This window comes from Homo sapiens, chromosome 7, assembly GCF_000001405.40.
Source record: "Homo sapiens chromosome 7, GRCh38.p14 Primary Assembly".
NCBI classification, from domain to species: Eukaryota; Metazoa; Chordata; class Mammalia; order Primates; family Hominidae; genus Homo; species Homo sapiens.
This window is the reverse complement of record NC_000007.14, coordinates 92,236,958-92,261,506: the sequence shown is the minus strand read 5'-3', so window position 1 is coordinate 92,261,506 and position 24,549 is coordinate 92,236,958. Positions and strand designations below refer to the sequence as shown.

Sequence of the window (24,549 nt, the reverse complement as noted above, 5' to 3'; positions counted from 1 at the left end):
TCATTGCAGTCAATAGCAATTAATAACTCATATACCTTAGAGAGAATGAAAGGATTTATGCCAGGTGTAGTATGTTGCCAAACAAAACAAAACAAAACAAAACAAAACAAAACAAACAAAAAACATAGTAATTTCTTTTCTTTTTTTTTTTTTTTTTTGAGACGGAGTCTCGCTCTGTCGCCCAGGCTGGAGTGCAGTGGCGCGATCTCGGCTCACTGCAAGCTCCGCCTCCCGGGTTCACGCCATTCTCCTGCCTCAGCCTCCCGAGTAGCTGGGACTACAGGCGCCCGCTACCACGCCTGGCTAATTTTTTGTATTTTTAGTAGAGACGGGGTTTCACCGTGTTAGCCAGGATGGTCTCGATCTCCTGACCTCGTGATCCGCCCGCCTCGGCCTCCCAAAGTGCTGGGATTACAGGCGTGAGCCACCGCGCCCGGCCAAAAAACATAGTAATTTCAAATCCAAACAAGAGAGGTTTGGACTTTATCAATTTTAGAAAAAGGAAAGCAGAGTAAATGTTGGAAGTCAATAACTGGTAGTCTACGCTAGAGTTACAGGATTTTTTCAAGTGTACTTCTCAGAGGAAAGGAATACTCTTCTTCACAGCTAAAATAATAAACTCCTGCAACAACTATTTATCAACCACCTATCATGTGCTAGGCATTATTGTAGGCGAAGGGGAATGCAGCAGGAACAAAATAAACTAAAATCACTGCTTTTTGTTTCTTTCTCAAATAAAGCCAGCAAGGAGAGTTTTGTGGTGCTGCAATGTCTAAAAGGGTAGCCAGCAAAAGCCTTACCAAAATGACTTTTTTTTTTTTTTTGAGACAGGGTCTCGCTTTGTGACTCATGCTGGAGTAAAGTGGCACAATCATGACTCATTGCACCCTCAGCCTCCCAGGCTCAAGTGATTCTCCTACTTTAGCCTCCTCCTGAGCAGCTGGGACTACCGCCATGTACCACCACGCCCAGCTAATTTAGTTTACCTTTTGTAGAGGGGAGGTCTCATCATGTTGCCCAGGCTAGTCTTGAATTCCTGGACTCAAGTGAATTCTCCTGCTTCAGCCTCCCAAAGTGTTGGGATTACAGGTGAGCCACCGGCCAAGCCCAAAGTGACGTTTCATCAACGAGCTAAAGAAGGTGATGTAGTGAGTCATGTGGTATCTAGGGGAAAGAGTATTCCAGATAGAGGAAATAGCCAGTGCATGCATAGGAGCATACCCTGTGTGTTCGAGGAACAAAAAGGAGGCCAGTGTTACTGTAGCATAGAGAGTAAGGAAGAAACTAGTAGGATATGAACTCAAGAGAATAGGGGCAGGCAACTGTGTAGGTAGGGTCTTAAAGATCACTGTAAATCACTACCTTTTTATTCTCGGTAAAAGGGGAAGTCACTGGAAGGTTTTTAGCAGAGAAGTGAAATGACCAGACTTACATTTAACAGGACTAGCCTAGCTGTCTGTTAAGAAGACTAATGGGGGTGAGAAGAAAGGCTAGAAGCAGATCATTTAGGAAGTGGCTGCACTAATCCAAGTACAAGGTGATGGTAGCTTAAAGACAGGAGGTAGCAGTGATGGTGGTGAATTCTTAGTTGGATTCTTGATGTACTCTGAAGGTAAGAACCAAAAAAATTGCTGACAGATTGGAAGCAGAAGTGAGAGAGAAGACAAAAATAAGAATGACTCCAAGGTCCTGGCATGAGCACCTGGAAGCAAGGGGTTACCACTACTGAGAGAGGAAGACTGCGGGAGGTGAGGTTTGGGCATGTGAGGGAAAATCTGCTTATATTTGAACAAGTTACATTTGAGAAGCTTATTAGATATTAGGTAGGCAAAAGGATATACTATTCTGAAGCTGAAATGTGAGGTCTGGGCTGGAGATACAACCTGGAAGTTGACAATTTACACATGCTATTAAATTGCTGTATAAAAAGTTTACAAAAATATAAATCCCCTGATAATTTCCTTTTTTCAGATTTATTTTTCCAGATTTAAAATGCAGAGATTTTCATCCTGCCCATCCCATCTAGACTTCAAAATCATAAATTATTTAATATACAGATATCAAATTGAATACAAAAAAAGCCAGAAATCCAATTAGGGAGACAGAAGTATACAGAAACTACAACAAGAAGTAAAGAGTATTGATAAGGAAGGTGGTAAGAACCATGGAGAAAGTCAAATACTACACAACTTTTAGGTTACGACCTGGCACGTGGACATTATGGCATGTGCTATATTTAAAACTGGTCCTTAGCCTGGTGCAGTGGCTCACGCCTGTAATCCCAGCACTTTGGAAGGCTGAGGCAGGTGGCTCACTTGAGCTCAAGAGTCCGAGACCAGCCTGGGCAACATGGCAAAACCTCATCTCCACCAAAAATACACCAAAATTAGCCAGGTGTGGTGGCATGCATCTGTGGTCCCAGCTACTCAGGAGGCTGAGACAGGAGGATCAATGGAGCCCGGGAAGCAGAGGTTACAGTGAGCCAAGATCGCGCCACTGTACTCCAACCTGGGTAATAAAACGAGACTCTGTCTCAAAAAAAACAAAACAAAACAAAACAAAAAAAACTCCAAAAAACAAACAAAAAACCTGGCCTTTGATGTGTGGTTGATGCTACTTCCATCTAAGGGCAAAAAATTCCAAATGGAGAGATCTCTTTTATGATCTCTTTTATTTAAATCATAATCTAGATAGCAGATGGATGAGAGAACCTACACTCTGTCTTTTCCCATTCCAACCCATCCTGCAAATGGCTGCCAGATTAATTTTTCTATGTCTATTCAATTTTGTTTTTACCTTCTCTTATGAGCTGAAGTTTGGAATTATAATTAATTTCATCAATTTTTTTAAAAAAATTAAGTTTCTCCATCAGAGTTTCTCACTACACAGAAAAATGATTTGAGGAACTATTTCTAAAATTCTCCCAATGATCGTATATAACCAGTACCATTCTAAGACACAGGAGAGAAACAAATTAATTTCATACAAAAGACAACAGCAATTAGCAGCAGCACTTGGGAACTTGTTAGAAATGAACACTCTCAGATCCCACTCAGACTTACTGAATTAGAAATTTGGGGGGGTGAGGCCCAGCAATCTGCACTTTAACAAGCATTCCAGGTGAGTGTGATACACATTAACTTTGAGAACCTCTGGCTTAGGACATTAACACTCAATTCTCTCAAGGATTATCAGTAGAAAAGACTACTAGACTATAAAATCCCTGAATTGGAACCTTATTATTTTTCATTTTCTCTTGCCTTATGCATCTGACATTTAATCCACATTCAGAGTTTTTGGGTAGTTAAAAGATAAGTATCCCCTCTGAGTTTCCCTGTTTCTCCTCATCCTATAATACCAAATTATCAGCCCAACCTTTATTCTCCCTTTTTACTTCTTCCTATTTTATAAGAAAAGTAATGTTTTTCAAATCGGAATATCATATCCTAATTTTTTTAAGTAATTCTGTAGATATCATGTCAAGTCACATTTCAGAGCAAGAAAGACTCTCAGAAGATTACTCAAATGCATCAACATACAGGTAAGAAAATGTCACCACATGGCAAACACACCTCTTACAGAAATAGAGAAAGATCAAAGAATAAATTAGCCATCTTTACAAGGCCTGAGTTTCAATAGTTGGTTTAACAGATTTAAGAGTTAGAATGGTTGAAAGATAGAATAATCTTTATTTTATTTTATTTTATTTTTTTTGAGACAGAGTTTCACTCTTCTTGCCCAGGCTGGAGCACAATGGCGCGATCTCTGCTCATGGCAACCTCCGCCTCCAGGGTTCAAGTGATTCTCCTGCCTCAGCCTCCCGAGTAGCCGGGATTACAGGCATGTGCCACCATGCTCAGCTTATTTTCTATTTTTAGTGGAGACGGGGTTTCTCCATGTTGGTCAGGCTGGTCTCGAACTCCCAACCTCAGGTGATCCACTTGCCTCAGCCTCCCAAAGTGTTGGGATTACAGGCGTGAGCCACCGCGTCTGGCTACAGTAATCTTTATTTTTATAATTGCTTTCCGGAAATAAAAGCAAATACATAATCAAAAACCACCAATTCTTTATTTATTGGCAGTAGTGCATGCCCTTTTTTCATTCCCTGCTCTACTTATAAATATAGAAAAAAGAACCTTAAATTAATAAGTATGCTATCTAGCTATCTAATGACATGGCACATCTTGTCCCCCACTGTCCTATCAGTGCAATACTAAGTTTCACAGAAACTAATCTCAAGACTGTTCATAACGACTTCTTCATTGTAACAATTTTTCTTTTCTTTTTTTTCTTTTTTTCTCTCTTTTTTTTTTTCTTTTCGAGACAGAGTCTTGCTCCCAGGCTGGAGTGCAGTTGGGCGATCTACTCGGCTCACTGCAAGCTCCGCCTCTCAGGTTCAAGCAATTCTACTGTCTCAGACTCCTGAGTAGTTAGAATTACAGGCACGCACCACCATGCCCAGCTAATTTTTGTATTTTTAGTAGAGACAGGGATTCACCATGTTGGCCAGGCTGGTCTCGAACTCTTGACCTCAGGTGAGCCACATGCCTCGGCCTCTCAAAGTGCCAGGATTACAGGCGTGAGCCACAGAGCCTGGCCAGCCCCTTGTGACAATTTTTCTAACCCAACATTTATTTTTCTGGTTATATTCCATCCAACAGAGACTACCTGGAGAAAGCCAGAGTGGAGATCATATGATACTTGGTATTCCAAGTTGAAAATCATTTTAATTGTACTCTAATCTTATGTCACAAGGGTTCTGAGGTAACATACAGATAATAAATCAAGTGGTAATAAGTGCCATGGGAAGCAGTGTAGCATGCCTAGAAAGAATATGGGCTTTGTAGCCATGAAGATCTTTTGGCTTCAAGTCTTAATTCTAGCCTTATTTGCCCTCATTTTATAAGATAGAAGCCGTAACATTAGTATACTGCCTCATATTGTTGTTACCTAGTTCTCAGTTATTTTAAAATACAAACTCCTTGAAAATAGGAATTATATGTTTTACATACCTCTGCATTCCCCCACATTGTATTTACACAGGTGCTCAAGAGATATTTGACTAATACTGGAATAGATTTTAATGTATTAGATAAACTCCTTAATAGGTGGCCCTTGCTTCCAGATCCCACCCCCAACTGAATTTTCTCTACTATAACCAAATTAACTTTATTAAAAGGCAAATCTGATCTTGTCCAATTCCATTTTAAAACCTTCTTAAGGTTCTCAGCTCTAAGGAAAAGTCCCTGCTAAGACCAGGATTCATCTCTTCACAGCCTATCACTTATAACTCAGCCCTGCCCACTAAACTACTAAAGCTCCTAGAATGTTGTCTCCTCTTCCCTACCAATTCCTCCTGAAAACGGTAACTCCTACTACTCATTCAAGTATCAGCTTAAAAGTTGTTTTCTCTATCAAGTTTCATGATAATAGCTCCCCAGCCCTCAACTAACTTCAAAGTCCTTCCTCCATAACTTGATACTACACTCAACTTACCATCTAAAACTATAATTAAATGTTTATCTGCTTCTTGAGTTATCTGGTAAACTCTTTAAGGATGAGAATCACACCATATTCAGTTTTATACCCCTTGTTTACCATAGTTACTGGCACACAGAACACCTTGAATAAGTATTACTTATTGAACATAATGCTAAAGTCCCATGTTCCCAACAGTTCCAATTTGAGAATATAATCATGTTTATTTCCGTTTGCGTATAAATAACTTTAAAACATGACAGCCCAATAGGTTAAAGAAAAAAAATTCTGGGGCTTTATCCTGAAGACACATTTATTATGGCACAGAAAGCAAAATCAGCACTATTTTTTTCAAAGAACAGAAAAAAATATATTTCATAAGAACTTGTTATTCTGGGGGAGGGGAAGGAGCTGCTTTATCTTGGCCCCATCCCCAGAAGTTACAGTCACCAAACTGGATATGATTCTCAGTTAAAGCAAGCAGAGCCATGAAGAGCGAAAGAATATAACGAAACTACTGCTCAGTCTGGAATGCCATCTGAAGACCACGAGGTGACAAGCCTGGATGACTAAACAGAAAGACAAATGAGCCTGCATTCCTGATAGCACTGTGGAACCACTATACCAGCTCCAGTCTACCTCTAATTTCTCATTACTTGAGGAAAATAATCCCCCTTGTTTATTTATATGACCCTTTTTTGGATTTCTGTGGCCGCTGAACATGATTACTATTTGATTAGAAAGTCAGAAGAAAGTTTAGGAAAAAGTTTGTTTAACCTAGAGAGGAGAGAGAGATTCTCAAGACAGGAACATCAAAAAGTCTTTAAAAGACAGATATAGATGATTCTATTAGTCCATTTTCACATTGCTGATAAAGACATACCCAAGACAGGGAAGAAAAAGAGATTTAATAGACCTATGGTTCCACATGGCTGGGGCCTCACAATCATGGCAGAAGGCAAGGAGGAGCAAGTCACATCTTACATGGATGGCAGCAGGCAAAGAGAAGAGAGCTTGTGAAGGAAAACTCCCCTTTTTAAAACCATCAGATCTTGTGTGACTTACTCACTATCATGAGAACAGCACGGGAAAGACCTGCCCTCATGCTATGATTCAATTACCTCCCACTGGGTCCCTCCCACAACATGTGGGAATTTAAGATGAGATTTGGGTGGGGACATAGCCAAACCATAGCAATGATTACATGAAATGCCAAAAGAAAAATTTATAATAAGTGATACCATAAACTAAAACAAAAGCAAACTTACAAAACTTATTTGTAAATTAAGTTAAAGGTTTATATCCATAATAAGGATATCAAAGAACACCAACATATTAGTAAGGGAAAAAATCCAACAAGAAAAAATGAGTAAAGATATGAATAAGCAATTCACAGAACTGAAAATCAAAATGCCCAACAAATATATTGAAAGATGGCTAGCCTCATAAGTAGCTAGCCTCATAAGTAGTTAGGGAAATGCACCATAGGAAACTTTTTTTTAAAACTCATTTTATTGTAAAAGAAAAGCATTCAGTGACAGTTTATAGAGAAAATAATTACTCTCAGACATTAATGGTGACAATTAGAATTGTGTCAATATTTCTGAAAAATAATTTAGCATTAAGTATTAAAATTAAATTGGTATATACTATGCACAAAGATATTAATTACAATATTATTCATAATAGAATACTAGAGACCATCCATATGTCCAAAATGAACACAGTTAAGGTTTCAGATATCTACTGCTACAGAACAAACCATCCCAAACTTAGTATCTCAAAACAGTATGTTATTTTTCACAACTCTGTAGGTTGGCTAGCAGTTTCTCTGCTGTTTTCATCTCTGGTTCCTGTGCGTTCAGCTAAAGGGTCAGCTGGGCTACTAGGTCCTAGATAAACCACTTTCATATCTGCCGGTTGGTGCTTGCTGTTAGCTGGGGTATCTTGGTTCTCCTGCAAGACACATCTAGTGCTTCCTTACACTAGACCAGCTTCCTCACACTCAGCTGCAAGAAAGTATTCCTTGAAGCCTTGTAAGGAGTTGGTTCCTGAACTCATAGATCACTTCTATCATATTTGTTCGTCAAAGTAAGTCACAAGGCCAGCCAAGACTCAAGAAAGAGATGGAGAAATAGATTCTACCTCTAGACAGAAAAAGCAAAGGCACACTGCAAAGAAGAATGCCTACCAAAACAGGAGAAATTTATGACTGTTAAACATTCTACCACTGGTAGGCAGGTACAGGTGTGTGTATGTGTGTGTCTGAATGTACACACATACTCACATGCACAATGAAATACTATGTAAGTTGTTAAAAAGAATGGAAAGGTTTTCTAGATAAGTAAAAAAAAAAGGTGTAGAATATTTAATATGGTATGTTACCATTTGTGTCTGGGGAAACTATGTGTATATTCTATCACATATATGTATGTTTGTAAATTCTTGAAATAGATTTAAAAATTAACTATTAGAATATGTAAAGGTGTCTGCAAGCTAGCTGAAGATGCAGGGCAGTGAGGTCATGTTGGGAAGACTACCAGAAGTGCAGGCTAATTAGCCTAGAGGCGAGGACAATGGGTGTTGTGTGGAAACAGAGAGTTGCACAGAGTCATAGGCCCAGTGAAGGGTTGTGGTTCCACAGAGGCAAAAGCCAGCAGGCCCCTCAGTTAATGATGTGTGTTAGTAGGGGTAGATGAAGGTGGGAGATGGTCTACATGGCAGGGAGAATGGTAGCCTACTGGGCAAATAAATAAAACAACTGGGGAAATGATAAATATATTCAGGCTAATGCAAAGCCTAGTTTATTGCTGCCAGAGAAGGCATTCATAAACATTTCAAGGGAGAAAGCTAGGAAAAACCCTGGGGTGCTGGACTAGAATTGGAACTACAGGAACAACTTTATGATTCTGTAATATGTACACACAGGTACAGAAATAATTATGTATGTACATGAGTGTGTGTTTTGCCTATGTGTGTGTATACAAACCATATACAAGTGTCCTAATTCTGTCTTTTATGACGGCTTGGAAGCAATGACACTCCAGTAGCAATGAACACACTAAGCCCCCAAATCTTTGTTTTTAAATACCATCTTTCACAAAAAAAAACAACCCACAAAAAACAAAAATAGGGCTCCTTGGAGAAATGGCTGATTCCAGGGCTCTAGCCCTGGAATCTACTTTGTCTACTCTAGTAGACAAAGCACAAGATGAACCAGGAACAGCTTGTTCTGCCAGAAAGCCCTAAGGAAATGCACAATCAATGAGATAGGGGCATGATATACGGGCAGACGAGCCAGCTTGAAGAGGTTACCATTGGCTAAGTCAGGAATACCTTAAAAAGCAAAATAAATAACAATAGCAACAAATCAGAACACATTTCACAAAATTGAAATCCATGAGTCTTTACTATTTTAATTTTAATACATAAGAGAGAAAGAGGTGAAACCCCATCTCTACTAAAAACACAAAAATGAGCTGGGAGTGGTGGTGGGTGCCTGTAATCTCAGCTACTCGGGAGGCTGAGGCAGGAGAATTGCTTGAACCTGGGAGGTAGAGGTTGCAGTGAGCCAAGATCACACCACTGCATTCCAGCCTGGGCAGCAGAGCAAGACTCTGTCTCAAAAAAAAAAAAAAAAAAGTAGTACCTTATGACATAATACCAACTAATATGCATAGAAGAAATAACAGAAAAAATATTATTTGGCAATCATCATAAGAGTGGTTAATTCAGGTGGGAGTCATCAATGACACCCACCAAAGCTAATGAGTGGAGGGTTGATGAGAAACAGGATACTAGCATAATTTTGGAATACATCTCCACAAACACTAATAAATCACAAAGGGCACAAATATAATCTTGCCAATATCACTATTAGTGGCATGGTTTTACATTGTATGCCTCTGGATGCAACACACTAAGAAGGGCACACAGCAGCATTTCTGTGGTATTACTGCCAGGAATGCATAACCTGATTGGAATCATGAGGAAGAATTATATAGATCTAGGATGAGGGTCACCACACAGAATACAGGGCATAAACTTATTAAAACTATCAAGGACATGAAAGATGGAAAACTGAGGCTGAAGAACTACGAACAGACATAACAACCAACTGTAACATGTATTCCTGGATAGGATCCTGCGCCAGAAGATAAAGAGATATTGTTGGCATAGTACACGAAATTTGTATAGATTCTTTGGACTAGATAGCAGTGTTGTATCCACGTTGATTTTCTTCTTTGGACAGTAGTATGTTGGCTGTATAAGAGAGTGCCTATTTTTAAAAAACAGACGCTGTAGTGTTTAGGAGTGATGTGATACCATGTTGGCAGTTTGCTCCAAAAGGTTCAGAAAAAGACTGTAATGAGGAGGTATGTATGTATGGAGACAGAGAGAGAGAGGGCAGGCAATGGAAGAAAGTAAGCAAAATATTAACAATAGGAGAAATCTGGGTGAAGGGGATGTAAGAGTTCTTTGTACTGTTCTGGCATTTTTTCTTTAAATTTGAAATTATTTCAAAATGATTTTTTTCATCTGAAAATAAAGATGTGATATAGAACATCTAGTGATACAGCAAATGTGAATCACCTATTGCCTAAGGCCAGGAAACAGAATGAAAACCCTGGCTGAATATGTTGATTTACATACTTTCCTTTACCATACTCTGAAGGGACGCATTAACAAGAAGGGCAATGTTTTCATGTCTATTTGGAGAACTAAGAGCATCTCAATGAACTCTCCCTTCTCTTCATGGATTTTAAATGAACATTTTACAGCTCAGTGAGGAAAGGAATCTTGACTTACTCATCTTTGTAGACCCAGCACCTAGCCCATTTATAATTTAGTCATTGTTAATGTCCTTGAACAGGAATTCTACCTCCAATATTGTTTCAGTGAGAAAAATATAGTGACTTGAGTAGCAAGGATTTTGCTACACTGAAATGAAAGGACTGTCTATGTTAAGTTAAAATTATATGTCAGACTGAAGACAGAAAAATATCAAGGATTAACTTTCTTAGCAACTCAAGTATTAAATATCTGCTCTACAGTCCTAAAAACAGAAGAGTGTATAACCAGTAGTAAAAATCATTATCCTGAGAATAGCAAACTGCTAACAGTTTTTGGTTAAAAATTAATGATAGAATAAAATGTTGAGGATAAAAATAAGGCTTTTGGAGAAAAGAGTTGACAGTGAAAAACCATGTTTTAAAAAATGCTGAGTGTCTGAAAAAGTATTAGACAGAATCATATCAAATTACTGATAAAGTATATATCCTACCAATAATGAGCATGATAATTTTCAAATCTGAAAGAATACATTTTCATTGCAGAAACTAAAACTCTCCAAGGCCCTTAGTTGCCAAAATCAAACTCAAAAATTTTAAAAGCTGAATAGATTTCACATGGCTCAATACTCTACCCTTCCTGGAGAATACACACATTTTTAGCACATTTTAAAAGCTTGTGGTCCCGTTGTAGAACTAGAGGGAAAAAAAGGTAAACATGCCTGAAGATCTGTTACAGTTAACCATAATGAACTTTAGAATTATGTCTTTTCAAAAGTTTAAACAATGACTGAAAATTATTTTTGATAGTATATAATTATCTGCTTTATTGATTTATTTATTTTTAGGCGGAGTTTTGCTCTTGTTGCCCAGGCTAGAGTGCAATGGCGTGATCTCGGCTCACTGCAACCTCTGCCTCCTGGGTTCAGGCGATTCTCCTGCCTCAGCCTCCCGAGTAGCTGGGATTACAGGCATGTGCCACCACGCTCGGCTAATTTTGCATTTTTAGTAGAGATGGGGTTTCTCTATGTTGGTCAGGCTGGTCTCGAACTCCTGACCTCAGGTGATCCGCCTGCCTCAGCCTCCCAAAGTTCTGGGATTACAGGTGTGAGCCACTGCACCCAGCCAAATTATCTGCTTTAGAACACAAGATATACTAGTACCTTATGAAATTAGGATTTTTCTATTCAAAGCAATATTAGAGAATTAAAAACTGTTAATGACTGTACGACAGCTTCTCCCCTTTAAGGACTGTAAGTCAAATCTTTTCGAGAATATTACAAGAAAAAAAAATCCAGTAATACTATACACAAGATTCTGTATGGCTTTTTATTATTAAAATAATTTAGTTTAGTTTATTCGCGTGTGGGGGGGGAGATCTTTAAATGGAGATAAAATATATTTTGGGACTGTTCTAAGGATTAAATGAGATAACGTATGTAAAGCACTTAGCATGGTGACTGGCACAAATTAGGCACTCAATAAATGGCATCTATTGTGCTTATTCTTTTTTTTTTTTGAGACAGAGTCTCACCCTGTCACCCAGGCTGGAGTGCAATGGTGCGATCTCAGCTCACTGCAACCTCCACCTCCCAGGTTAAAGTGATTCTCCTGCCTCCACCTCCCAAGTAGCTGGGATTACAGGGGCGTGCCACCACACCCAGCTAGTTTTTTGTATCTTTAGTAGAGACAGAGTTTCACCATGTTGGCCAGGCTGGTCTTGATCTCTTGACCTCATGATCTGTCCACCTCGGCCTCCCAAAGTGCTGGGATTACAGGCGTGAGCCACAGCACCCGGCCGCTTATTCTTATACACAGGATATGAAACAACCTTGCAACAGGGTCAAGTGGCTTAAAAACCTGTAAGAGAAGCCAATAAAGGCAGGTGAATAGAAATCACAGTCAAATATCTAGACTGGTAACCTCAATGAGGAAAGGAACCTTGACTAATTTACCCTGGTAGTTCCAGAACCTAATAAAAGTGCTTGGCACACACAGTAGATGCTCAACAAAGGTTTACTGAAATGAAGTGGACATGAAAGTATCTGGAAGGCCAGGCGCAGTGGCTGACACCCATAATCCCAACATTTTGGGAGGCCAAGGCAGGCGGATCACCTGAGTTCAGGAGTTTGAGACCAGCCTGGCCAACGTGGCAAAACCTCGTCTCTACTAAAAATACAAAAATTAGCCGGGTGTGGTGGCGGGCACCTGTAGTCCCAGCTACTTGGGAGGCTGACGCAGGAGAATCGTTTGACCCCAGGAGGCGGAGGTTGTACTGAGCTAAGATCACACCACTGCACTCCAGCCTTGGCAAGAGAATGAGACTCCATCTCAAAAAAAAAAAAAAAAAGAAAGAAAAGAAAAAAGAAAAAAAGTATCTGGAAAAGAAAGAGGCAGTCTGAGGTTATCTGAAAAATAAACTGAGAATCCAAAAATTACCATTCCCCCTAAGGAAGTCACTTTGAAAAGTAAATTAAAAACCTAAACATTTTTAGATCAATGTATAAAAACTCCCACAGACTGGTCTCTTTAATAATGACTTAGTCCACTCCCAAATCCTTTTTGGCAAATGTGTCAAATATTTGAAGGAAATATTTTAAAACTTAATCTAAATAAATGTCATATGCATCCTCAATGGGGGAAAAATTACCCAAAGCACTGAGGAATCTTTTCCAACTTCATTTCAAGGACATTCAGATTAACTTAATTCATAGTTCTTCCATCTACTTATATATGAAAATGAGCTCGCACTTTTATCTACAAGCAAGTTGTAAATACACATATTTCACTTTCACAAGTTTGAGTGCATACCCCAGAAAAGAAAGAGGAAAGAAAACCCACTCTTTGAGAAGTGGGCAGTGCCACAGGAGTACAAAAGAGTGGCTAACAAAACTTCCCTCCCATGTTTCAGGAGTCACCTACCTGTTAGAGCCCTTGTTTACAGCACAGTTGGCACAGTTTCAGACTCCTTACATATTGAAAACTCAAAATTCTCGGTGTAGTGGTCAAGGGAACAGTGAAATAGGAAAATATAGTTCTATCTTCCCCATCCTACCCCAAGGAAAAGAGAATCAACAACATTTTTTCTAAGACTTCTCCAAGATAGCGCCCATCACCTCACTATAGCACCCTACTCTTATTCAGAAACTGAACAATTTTACAGAAAGCAAAAGCCACACCCTTAATAATACACTCAACTCTGCACAGTGCTTGGCTTCTGTGCTAAGTACATTTCCAGAGACAGAGTTGGAGCTACATCTCCTGAGCCTACTTCAAATTAAAATCTGTGAACAGTGAGAAGTTACAAATCAGATAATAGCCCAAAATCAACTGCTGAAAGGAGGTTGGGGGGAAAAGTCATTAAACACATCCATCTTTCTTAATGAAATGACAATGTTTTTCAGCAACACAAAACACCAAAGCTACCAGTCTACACTACACAGTAGTTTGCAGAATGACAACCTGCAGTACACAGTAAAATTATTCTTAAATTATCGTTTGCTTCCTATGGTGCTCTGAAAAGTAGCAAATGCATAAAGTCATATAAGAGCTATTGTCCAATCACTGACAGCATTAAAATTATTTTTAAATCTAATTTCTGGAAAGTTCTGCAGGAGCAGTTTGAAAAGCAAATCAAATTCTAATGAGAAAAAACGCCTAGTTCAAAAATCTGAAAATATACTTTGAAGACATTCACAGTTTAAGCAGCAGGAGGGTCATAGGCACCAAGGTGTGTAACATCTGTGAGTGGCTGATACAAAAAAAGATTTCTCTGGAATTAATGATTGAAAATAATTATCAAATACAATCTAATATGATCTTTAAACGTCTGTCTCAAAAGCAACAAAGCAAAAGCTTGTAACAAAGCAAAACCTTCCAATACACAGATTTTTACACCTTACACATACCCACATACTTCACAAATTAAGAACTAGATGAAAATTAGAACACTAAAATTTAAAGGTATCTAAAATACACTATTTGAAACAGCAGACTCTTATCTTTACATTTATCTGTCAGATCTACCAGTAAAGCTCTTCTGAAATGGTCATTCCAATACAAGATTGTTCGATATGCCATTCCGTGTGAATAGAGCTTGGGAGACTAATTCTCAAAATCTCCTCAGGAGATGCTTTATTACAGCTCTAGTTTCAATTTCCTGCGACTCAAACAGCTACGTACAGAAAAACAGCTCATACATACGGAGAAGAATAAGAATACAGGGGAGCGCTCCATTCTTTTGTTTTGGTGGCAGAAGCTGCAAAAATAAAGGTTCACTGGAGCCATCTGCACCTATCCCCACCCATCACAGCCCTGCAGAGCACTTTTACCCATCCGCTTCTCAAGACTCTCTCTAGCCCCCGAGGTCGGCAGAACCCGTGGCTTTCCACGTCTCAAAGGATGGGGGTGGGGGGGAGGCTGCGAGGAAGGACACAGATCCTTTGAGGACAGAGGGACAAGGAGATGCATCCAGATGGGGAGGATGGGACGCGTCACGGAGACCCGGAGGCTTGCAAATTCGCTGGGAGAAAAGCCCTGTAGGGCAGAGAATGCTGCCTGTTCAGGGATGGGGACAGACAGAACAACAATGCTCCAAAACAGGCGACAGACACACTCCTAGTAGATCCGGGAGGGTGTGAAGTAGGTAGCTCTGAACTCGGAGCCACAAATGGGTAGAGGCAGCCTCAAACACATCTGTACCGCGAAGCTGAGACTTACGGTTACTTCTCTCGCTGAGGGTAAGGGTCGGTGGACCCAGCAACTCCGCAGTTCCGCCTCCGCCGCCCCTGCCTCTACAGCCGAGCTGGTGACCTCAGGTACCCAGCCCGCCCCACCCACCCGGACGGTTGCCCCTTCCTCGCCGGCCCGGGTGCACCCGCCAGGCGGAGGCTGATGTGGCCGAGGGTGCGCACTGGCGGCCCGCGGGAAGCGCTGCGTGAGCCGAAGGCGCCCGCGGCGAGGCTCAGACTGGGTGGGCGCCCCCCATCCCTCTCCGGCCGCTGCGCCGCCTCACTCGGGGGAGGGGAAGAGGGGGCGGTGGCTCTTGCCTCCGCCTCGCGGTCAAGCCCGGCTCATGTTCCAGCCTTGCGCGCTCGCAGCCCCGGCCGCCCTCTTCCCCTCCCCCGCCTCCGGCTCCGGCTCCGGCTCAGCCGCTGGCACCCCCACCGCCACCACCCTAGTCTCCTAGTCGCCTGCCACCAGCCCCTGAGAGACTGCAGGTCCAGTGAAAAGGAGCAGGAACGGCAGCAGCCCGGCCGCCGACCCGGAAGCTCTTTCACCGCCAACCGCGAGGCTGCAAAGGGTGTGAACCCGGAAGCGATTTCATAGCCACGGTAACGGCGGGGTGGAAAGCTAAGGCCTTTGAAGACCTGGGACCCCGTAGTTTCGGGAGAGGGTGAGGGGTGAATGGTGCTGAGGTGCGAGGAGAGGGAAGGACAGTAAAGAGCAGGTGGGCAGGAGGGTCTCCGACTCCAGAGACCTGAGCTTTTGGGGCGCGGGTGGGAGCGCGGGGGAACCCTCAAGACGGCTTTCTTTTGGCGACTGAGGGTTTTTCTGCCACAGGAAGCTGGGCCGGGCTGCTGTGCCTGGGAGGAGGGAAGGAGGAATGAGAAAGCGGTGACGGTCCCTGCCCCCCCTCGCCAGGTGACTGTCCCACCCATTTAGTTGAATGTAGCGGCCAGAGAGGCACTCGCGGCAGCCCGTACGGGTGGGACCTCTCGGTGTCCTTCGGGAAACAGGAGGAGCAAGTTCGACTCCAGCGAGGGAAAACGGAGGTGGGAGACTGAACCATCTCCACATCTAGTTGCCCCAGGCAAGGAGTTTATTTTTCACATGTAGTTACAGAGAAACCATAGCCACTTTTTGGGTGGAAACTCTTTGAGCAAAGAGGCTTACGTTTTTCCCCAGTAGTGGACGTTGACGGGTGGTGGCGCAGGAAAAAACCTCCCAGGCAGAGTGATTACGTATTTTTGTCATTGCAGGGAAAGGGATTCACAGCTTGTCATTCTAACTCACTTCTCCCCCTGTAACTCACTTCTCGCCTCTACACTTTTCTCCACCTTTTAAGGTTTTTGGCTTTCATCGCTTTTTCTACATGTTTTTAGCCTCACCAGAAGTCTTTCATCTCGGTGGTCCAACTCAGGATCTCAGCCTCATTATTTTCTTACCCTTCTGGAGTGCATATGTGCCTTTACAGTTTCTGTTTGCAAACGCTGTCTAGCATACTAAGAGGATGTTAGCAAACCTGTTCCATGGACACTAAATGGCAGTTGTACATCTCCCCTCATCAGTCATAGTGACAACCAGAAATGCCCTCCATATTTTCCAGTGATCCCAGGTAGGTGCCACCCCCCTAATTAAGGACCACTTCCACTGCTTTATTTATAAGATCTTATTACTTAGGGAGCATATTATCATTTGTGCCTAACATTTTCCAGAATGGAGTGAGCCATATAACAAAATGCCACGTTTCCTGTACTTATTCACTTGAACCCTCATCTCAGACTCAGTCTAAACATATTGCAAACTCTAGTTATACCTTTCTTGTATTTTAGTTCAAGCTACTCATTTTCTATCAGTTTGTCTGTGTTTCTCCCTTAGCAGTTTTACCTTCCTATGTTAGTTACTTTTGTTATTTTCCTGTTAAGCCTTTGTTTCCTTCTTTCATGTCACTGGAAGAATGTAGATTTTAAGTAGTCAAGTACGAATAGTTCTTGAAAATGAATTTTAAGAATATTTTGGGGATATGGTAAAAAAGTATTTGGTTTAAGAAAACAAAATACTGTTACTGTCATAGTTATGTCTTTTTAAAATCACATTTGTTTACCTTTTAAAAGTTCAGGCTTCTGTGCAGTATTAATTAAATATTCTAGAGAAGTGATGAGTATTGACAAAGTACTTTGCTAGTAAATGTTTTCTTAACATGAGTTGACCAAGACAGGAATTGATTTGCTTTAAATTGTCTTTAGAAAAGTAAGAGTTACTTGATTTTTCTTTTAGGTCCTTAATAGATAAAATGGTTTCTGTAATTGTGCCCATATATCATACAGTGTATTCACAATACAATGTCTTTCTTTTTGGGGCTTGCAGTCTTCAATGCGTCTGTCTCATAATTTGTAAACGTTTATTATCTTGAAGTCATTGTTAATCTGTGGTGAAAAGTAATTGCTAAATAGAAATTCTGAGAAGAAAAAGGCCTCATCCTTTTCACATGATGTAGGAAGGTCTGTTGCATGAGGTGGGTTTTAAGAATGATTTTATACAAAAAATTGAACTGAAAAAAATTTCATGAAGTATATAATGATAAAGAATGATAACGTCCTCAAAACCTTTCACACAATGAAATGTCTCTATCCTAATGTGTCACTGTATTTTTTTCTAGTGAAATATCTGTAGGGTTTTTTTGGATCTAAATCAATGGAAAGTTTTAGAATTTAAAATAAATTTGAAAAGTATTTAAATTATTTTATTTAAAATTTTTGTACAATAATTTTAATGGTTGTTTTAATCTTAGGCTAAAGTTTATGTAAAATGCCAAAAGCTACTGTATTTTAAAAGAATTTCTTCTTAGGGTAATTTTACAATCATAAGGCACTTTTTAATTATTATTTAGGGAAGTGAATTAAAAGTTACAGAGTGACATTTTCAGTTGCAGTGGAAGAAACAGGATAAATTACTCTATCGCCTCTCAAATAACATTCAAAACCCTTTCTTGAAAATGGTCTATCTTGAGAGTTGCAGCAGTAGGGAACTCATTAAATATGAACAGGTAATTTTAATGCCTAATGGTTTTTAAAAAACTGAAGAAAGTTCATCTCAACATAGCTGGGAAAGAAACTCTTTAATGTTCTTTTAGAAATTTACTGACAAATAAATGGGGAGAAGCTTTTTCAAAAAAAGATAAAAAATAATCAGTACAGAAAGATGCACTTTAGTGTAGCCATGAAAGAAATTTATTCAATGAAGAAAACTATTATACAACTAAGATTGTGGTTGAAATTCAGTCACTTGTTGGAAATTGCGCAATGGAGACTTAAGATTTAGTGGGACAAAGTATATGCATAACACACACGCACACACACACACAGTGAATATATTTGGAATAAAAAATTTGGATTATTGACAGGTGTGGTGGCTCACGCCTGTAATCCGAGCACTTTGGGAGGCCGAGGCAGGTGGATCACTTGAGGTCAGGAGTTTGAGACCAGCCTGGCCAACATGGTAAAACTCCATCTCTACTAAAAGACACAAAAATTAGCCGAGCATGGTGGCACACGCCTGTTAATTCTGGCTACTCAGGAGGCTGAGGCAGGAGGGAGAATCGCCTGAACCCGGGAGGCGAGGGTTGCATTGAGGCGAGATTGTCACTGCACTCTAGCCTAAGTGACAGAGCGAGACTCTGTCTAAAACAAAACAAAACAAAAATTTGGATTATCAAGGAAATTGATAAGGGAAATGGAAAAGATTCTTAAATCACCTTCAGAAAGCTTTTATCAACTGACCAAATAGTTTTGGTTCTGTGATAAGCAACTCCAAAGAAAATTACATACTACGCTTTAGCTCATCCAAATGTCTGATATCAAAGTTATCCTTGCTGAAAGTTCTGGAGTAAATGTCAATGGATATAAAACATCTACCATTTCCAGCTTCCAAACTGTTAACAGTATAACTAACATTCACTTTTGTAATTTATGGAAAAAGTGTATATTATTCTGAATCACTATTTCAAGTCATTATTTACAAGTTATTTTATAATCATCATCACTTTTTTTTGGCCCCAAAGGCAGATTCTTACTATGCAGTTAACACCTATGAAAATGTATAACCCTATTTTAAAATGAAAAAAGAAATACAAAGGAAATCTTAAATTATCAGCTAAGGTTTTGAGTAGTTGAACAGTAAAGATGCAGTCAAAGTCATTCCTGGCTTGCCTTTTAGGCACTGTATATTCTAGGATAGAGAACATTTTATTTTTTTTTAATTTTTTCGACATGATTATGTGGAAATAAAAGTTTTCAATTTAAGATGCATTACTTTTTTTTATCTTGCCATCAAATGTGTCATTTAATCTTTCAAAGGATTTTTTTATTTGTTTTGTAAAGCAATGGGAAATCCAGAAAACATAGAAGATGCATATGTTGCTGTTATTCGTCCAAAGAATACTGCCAGTCTCAATTCTCGGGAATACAGAGCTAAGTCATATGAAGTAAGAACATTTAATAATAATTTATTTCTACCATTGAATGTCATTCTGTATTATCATTCACATATAAAGCCTTATTATATCTTGTAAAGTTGTATTAACAAGCCAATTATTTTAGGTCTCTGCCCATTATTTTGTCTTTTTTCTGCCACGTGCCTTTTGACCATTTGCTGTTTATTGACATGTAGGTTATTAGATATTAAAGGTTACTTGTTTGAGTTTTTCTTACAATATATAGCTTTCAGTTTTCTTACAGTTTGTGAAATGGCTCTCAAAAATTAAAAACCACTGCAAAAGTCAGCTCACTTAAAATTTCAATCCAAACTTTGTTTTTGGTTATTTTTCCAAATAACTATTTTTAACAATTCGTTTTAAAATACTTTTTTGCCTTAAATTTTTAGACAATTAAGTTACTTTTCTGTAGTGTTGAATCGTATTTATTAGTAAACATATAATTAAGGCTATATGTACATACATATACATATATATAACTTGTTACTTTTTTATGCAACAGATTTCAAGCAATATGAAATACTTCTAATTTAACCTAATTTATCTAGCATTTCCTTTAAACTGCTTTTTTAAGGTTGTCTGAAACCTGTTAAAGGGTACTGTAGGGTTTCTGAGTAGGCTACTGCATCAGCAGTGCTGTGGCTTACCATTTCTCACTCCTGGCTGCACTGTAGAAGCATCTTAAAACTGTAAGAACCAGGCCCCAGACATTCCCATCTGTGTGGGATGGGGCTGGGCATTGCTATTGTTTTAAAGCTTCCCAAATTATTCTAATATGCAGCTAGAGTTGAGAAAGACTGCTAGCTTATTGTAGTATTCTAGGGCAAGTAGACTTTATTTTAAGCTTTCTCTTAATGTTTTTCTCATCTAAGATTTTGTTGCATGAAGTTCCCATTGAAGGACAGAAAAAAAAGAGAAAGAAAGTTTTATTGGAAACGAAACTTCAAGGCAACAGTGAAATAACACAAGGCATATTGGATTACGTAGTAGAAACCACCAAACCAATTTCTCCTGCAAACCAGGGTATCAGAGGTAGGAAACTTCTTTTTTAAAAAACACATTGTTTAAAATACTTGTGGAGAAAGATTCTTTTAAAAATATACACATATTAAACCAATTTCTTTTTATGTTCCTTTACATTTAACAAACTTGCAAAAAAACTCAAGTGTTTTTTAAGGTACACCCAAGCCCCTTCAAGATGTAACTTGACAAATTTTTTAAAAGTTGAGAAGTATTTAAAGAATTCACAATGTTGATGTGAAGTGTAGTTCCCTAGGTAAGTATCTTTTAACTACTATTCCTATTTCTTTACTTAATGACAGAGGAAACTATACTCATCTCTCCAAAACTAAGTAAAAGTTAATGTTCATGGATTAGGGAAAGTCCTGTAAATTACCAAGTAGCAGAGGTTTTCTTCCTATTTGGTCATAGAAAGAAGACCCTTTTCAGAAAGTCAAACTGAATTGTGGAAGTATTAACCCTGAAAGATTAAGGCCCCATTTAAAATATTACATAATAGATAGATTAAAAATTAATGATCCATTTTCTCAGGCTGTAGAAACAGCCATCAAACGTTACAGAAACTACAAACTATATCCAAGATTCAGTTACTACAATTTAAAAAGTAAAACCAATTCAGTCAAGCAGCAGTAGAAAACAGTTCTTAGTGAAGTAAAGCATACCTCTCTATGCCTGCTTTTTTGGTTTTTCAAAGCTTATTCAGTGTACATTTTTATAGGGATTAGTTATCTGATTCATATGTTTCAGTAAAGAGATGGTTTTTGTTGCAGAGATACAGCCAAATACTGTGGTTTGATTTATTAGTTATTTTGGATATTTGTTTTCTAGAGATACATAACTGAGCTATAAGCCTGTGTTTCATAACTTTTGGCGGTACCATTCACTGTATTATAGCTCCCTGATAGGTTTCTTCCCCTAATAGAGCCTGAAGAGTTTTTGTGGGTTGGGACTGTAAGCATTTTAACTCAGGATTATAAGTAGTTCCTACTTATAAGACGTGAGGTGCAGTGGCTCACGTCTGTAATCCCAGCACTTTGGGAGGCCGAGGTGGGTGGATCACGAGGTCAGGAGTTCGAGACCAGCTTGGCCAATATGGTGAAACCCCATCTCTACCAAAAATACAAAAATTAGCCCGGTGTGGTGGTACACGCCTATAGTCCCAGCTACTCAGGAGGCTGAGGCAGAAGAATCGCTTGAACATGGGAAATGGAGGTTACAGTGAGCCAAGATTGTGCCACTGCACTCTAGCCTGGGCGACAGAGTGAGACTCCGTCTCAAAAAAAAAAAAAAAAAAAAAGTTCCTGCATATGATCTGTGATAAACACTCCGAGTCTCACAAAGAGAATCCCTTTTCTCTAATTACCAGATTCACTGTATAATAAGATGATCAGGAAAGCAATCTTAGCTTATTAAAAAGGTGGAGGGAGCTATCCTTTTTTGGGAATCAAGGCATGTGAAGACTCTCTTTGGATGCCACAGATTGGTCAGTCTTATCTACCTCAGTCTTGGACTTCTCTGATAAATTTTCATCTGAACTTATTTTACTAATGCCAGATTGTTATAGTTATCAGCATCTATCCTGACACCAAATCCCTGAGACAGAAATCTAATTAGCCTAAATCACATATTTGAGCTGACAAATCATTATAGACCTAAAAAAGTCATAATTTGTTGTGAATTAAATAAGCTCAGCCACTAGGTCCATTTACCCAGAGGGATATGGAAGAGATCTCACTGTTAACAAAAAACTTCCCCTGGTCCAGAAGGCTGGGTACTTTCCCTTAGGAGGAGTTACGAGTGACAGTCACCGTGAAACATATCTAGCACCATTTTGCCCTGTATACTCAGACATAAAATGTACTAATATATTTTCAGGGAGCTTTTAACAAGAAATTAAAGTTGAAAAGTTTAATGTATTAATGAGCCATACTGTATCCTGAATATCCTATTTGTTTTTCTAAATCTATGAAATATTTTTGAAGTAATAAGATTCCTTATATAAACATCACATGAAAATCACAAATGACTATTAGCAGTAGTTAGGCTTAAAATTTTTGTACTGTGCTGTATGTCATTTACAAAGCACCATCACACTTATACATGAAACTCTTAAATTGGTCCTGTCGATAGGTAGTGATTTTCACATCTATAAAATGGGAATGGAGGCATAGGCTGTCTCCTCCTATAAGCATTTCCATTGGTAGAGGAATTAGGACTAGAACCTTCATCTCCTAACTTGTCAGTGCTTCCCTGCCCCACTGACAGATCTCATAGTTAGATATATAATATGCAAAATAGGCATTTAAATAATGGATCGTAACTGGATTTGGGGAAACAGCAAGGCAGGAAAGATTAAGTAGAAACGAGACTTCAAGCCAGACAAAAGAAATAGTGCCTCTGAAGTATATTAGAATGTTGTTCTGTATCTAGCACTTATATTTTGTACAAGTGTTCATTTTGTAAAATAATTGGAGGCTATAATATAGAAGGTCTTAATAATCACAAATATTGGCTCTGATATTTTGTGAATAAGTGAATCTATTTGAAGTCTTATCATTTACCTGCCCACAGAAGGCATCCCACCTGCCTACTAGGCATTTCTACCTGGGGCAGGAACGAGGTTCTGTTTCTTAGTGTGAGGAAATTGAAAGCATTGAAAGCATAACAAAGGTCTAGAGAATGAGGGGTTTTAGAATACAAGACTTGTAGGTTATTATTTATTAATAACTTACTGCCAATTCAGGAAAAACATTAAGAATGGTAGTTACAATTTAGAACAATAGTTTGTAGCCCAATCAGATTTTAATAAAACCTGAAATTGAGGATGGAGGTTAAATATTAAATGAAGAGCCACTAAACATTAAGACTTTGAAACTTACATATGCCAGAATATAATACAATTCTTACTGTCTCTATTCTAGATGACTGAGGTGGTATATGCATATTGACCCTGCAGAGTACATTGTTGATCTGCCTTCTCAGCTCTTAGCAGAACAGTTTTCCTAGCTATGCTTAGGAAGCTTCTCTTCTAGGGGTCAAGACCAGGACCCTAAATCTACAAGGATTGTCCACAGAATGATTTTGCATTTATCAGTTTTTATTAGTACATATAATAAAATTGACTTAGTATATTTCAGTTCCTCTTAATGCTGCCTTTTAAAGTATCTGTTTTCTAATTCTCAAGGTAATTTATAAGATTTAAAAGTGTATTATTTTTGTTTTGCTAACTTTTTAAAAATGATTAGGAAAACGAGTTGTACTAATGAAAAAATTTCCTCTGGATGGAGAGAAGATGGGCAGAGAAGCATCATTATTTATTGTTCCATCAGTTGTCAAAGGTAAAGTCTAAATGTATCTTACAAATCTTTATATACTTTAGATGCTAAGTAAAGGTCTATTGAGGAAGTTAAGAATTTGCATTCATAGTTACTACTATAATATTATAAAATACATATTTTAAAATTAATAGAAGGGAAATATGTTACTTAAAGATGTTTTGATTTCAAAATAATATACAGGCTTCTTGGCTCAACAGTAATGTTTTTGTTTTAGTTTTTAAAAGGATGAAGAAATGAGGAGGGAAGGCATAATTGAAATTTAAAGTGCTCAGGTTACAATAAAGGATTTTTCTAAAGATATGCCATAGATAAAATAAAAATTGATCCTTAAGTATTCTGGAAAATTAACAGATTATGATCAGAACCTATCTTGTATTTGGGACAAGAATCAATAATAGTTCTAATATACTCTGCCTAATAGTAATATTTTTAAGAAGGAAATCTAATGTGAAAATGTTTTATTCCTTTGGCACCCTGGCATAATAAACACATTGAGTTTCAGTACAGACCTTGCAGCCTATAATTTTGTGACCTTGGGCAAATCTCCTCTTTAATCTTTAGCTCTTTATTTGTAAAATAGGGACAATATTGCTATCTACTCCCACTTGTTTCATGGTGCTGGAAAAATTCAATGAGGTATTAGATACGAAATCACCTTGGAAACTATAGAGTACTAGCATCATGTAAGATAGTAGTAACACTGATGATA

The 24,549-nt window shown here is 38.8% G+C and overlaps 2 protein-coding genes across 35 annotated transcripts in view, besides 4 other annotated features; one reads left to right on the top strand and one right to left on the bottom strand.

Moving 5' to 3' along the window:
* The window catches only part of ANKIB1 (ankyrin repeat and IBR domain containing 1), a 155,410-nt gene extending 139,877 nt beyond the window's left edge, over positions 1–15,533 (bottom strand). Inside the window, exon 1 of the mRNA NM_019004.2 lies at positions 14,988–15,533. The gene's annotated coding sequence lies outside the window, so the exon portion shown is untranslated. The remainder of the gene's footprint in view (positions 1–14,987) is intronic.
* Positions 640–1,839: an enhancer, noted in NCBI's record as "MED14-independent group 3 enhancer chr7:91888982-91890181 (GRCh37/hg19 assembly coordinates)". NCBI's record gives its function as "activates an origin of replication core promoter dependent on BRD2, BRD4, P300/CBP and CDK7 cofactors, and independent of MED14, by STARR-seq in HCT116 cells {active_cell/tissue: HCT116}" and the evidence as "EXISTENCE:reporter gene assay evidence [ECO:0000049][PMID:35650434]".
* Positions 15,098–15,487: a silencer, noted in NCBI's record as "silent region_18369". NCBI's record gives its function as "represses an Ori minimal core promoter by ATAC-STARR-seq in GM12878 lymphoblastoid cells {active_cell/tissue: GM12878}" and the evidence as "EXISTENCE:reporter gene assay evidence [ECO:0000049][PMID:35858748]".
* Positions 15,098–15,712: a biological region, named in NCBI's record as "Sharpr-MPRA regulatory region 5961".
* The window catches only part of KRIT1 (KRIT1 ankyrin repeat containing), a 47,132-nt gene continuing 37,989 nt past the window's right edge, over positions 15,407–24,549 (top strand). For 2 of the 34 annotated variants that reach the window (NM_001013406.2, NM_001350690.1), the window contains exons 1-5: positions 15,407–15,717; positions 16,336–16,605; positions 19,370–19,473; positions 20,355–20,514; positions 23,748–23,840. In NM_001013406.2, coding sequence (NP_001013424.1) covers positions 19,372–19,473; positions 20,355–20,514; positions 23,748–23,840 — 355 coding nt within the window. In that variant the 5' untranslated portion in view covers positions 15,407–15,717; positions 16,336–16,605; positions 19,370–19,371. Of the gene's footprint in view, positions 16,081–16,335; positions 16,606–17,357; positions 17,506–19,369; positions 19,474–20,354; positions 20,515–23,747; positions 23,841–24,549 lie in introns of all 34 variants that reach the window. The other 32 variants (NM_001350671.1, NM_001350686.1, NM_194456.1 and 29 more) reach the window with 31 other exon arrangements.
* Positions 15,418–15,712: an enhancer, noted in NCBI's record as "tiled region #5961; HepG2 Activating non-DNase unmatched - State 1:Tss, and K562 Activating DNase unmatched - State 1:Tss". NCBI's record gives its function as "activates a minimal TATA promoter and a strong SV40 promoter by Sharpr-MPRA in HepG2 and K562 cells {active_cell/tissue: HepG2 | K562}" and the evidence as "EXISTENCE:reporter gene assay evidence [ECO:0000049][PMID:27701403]".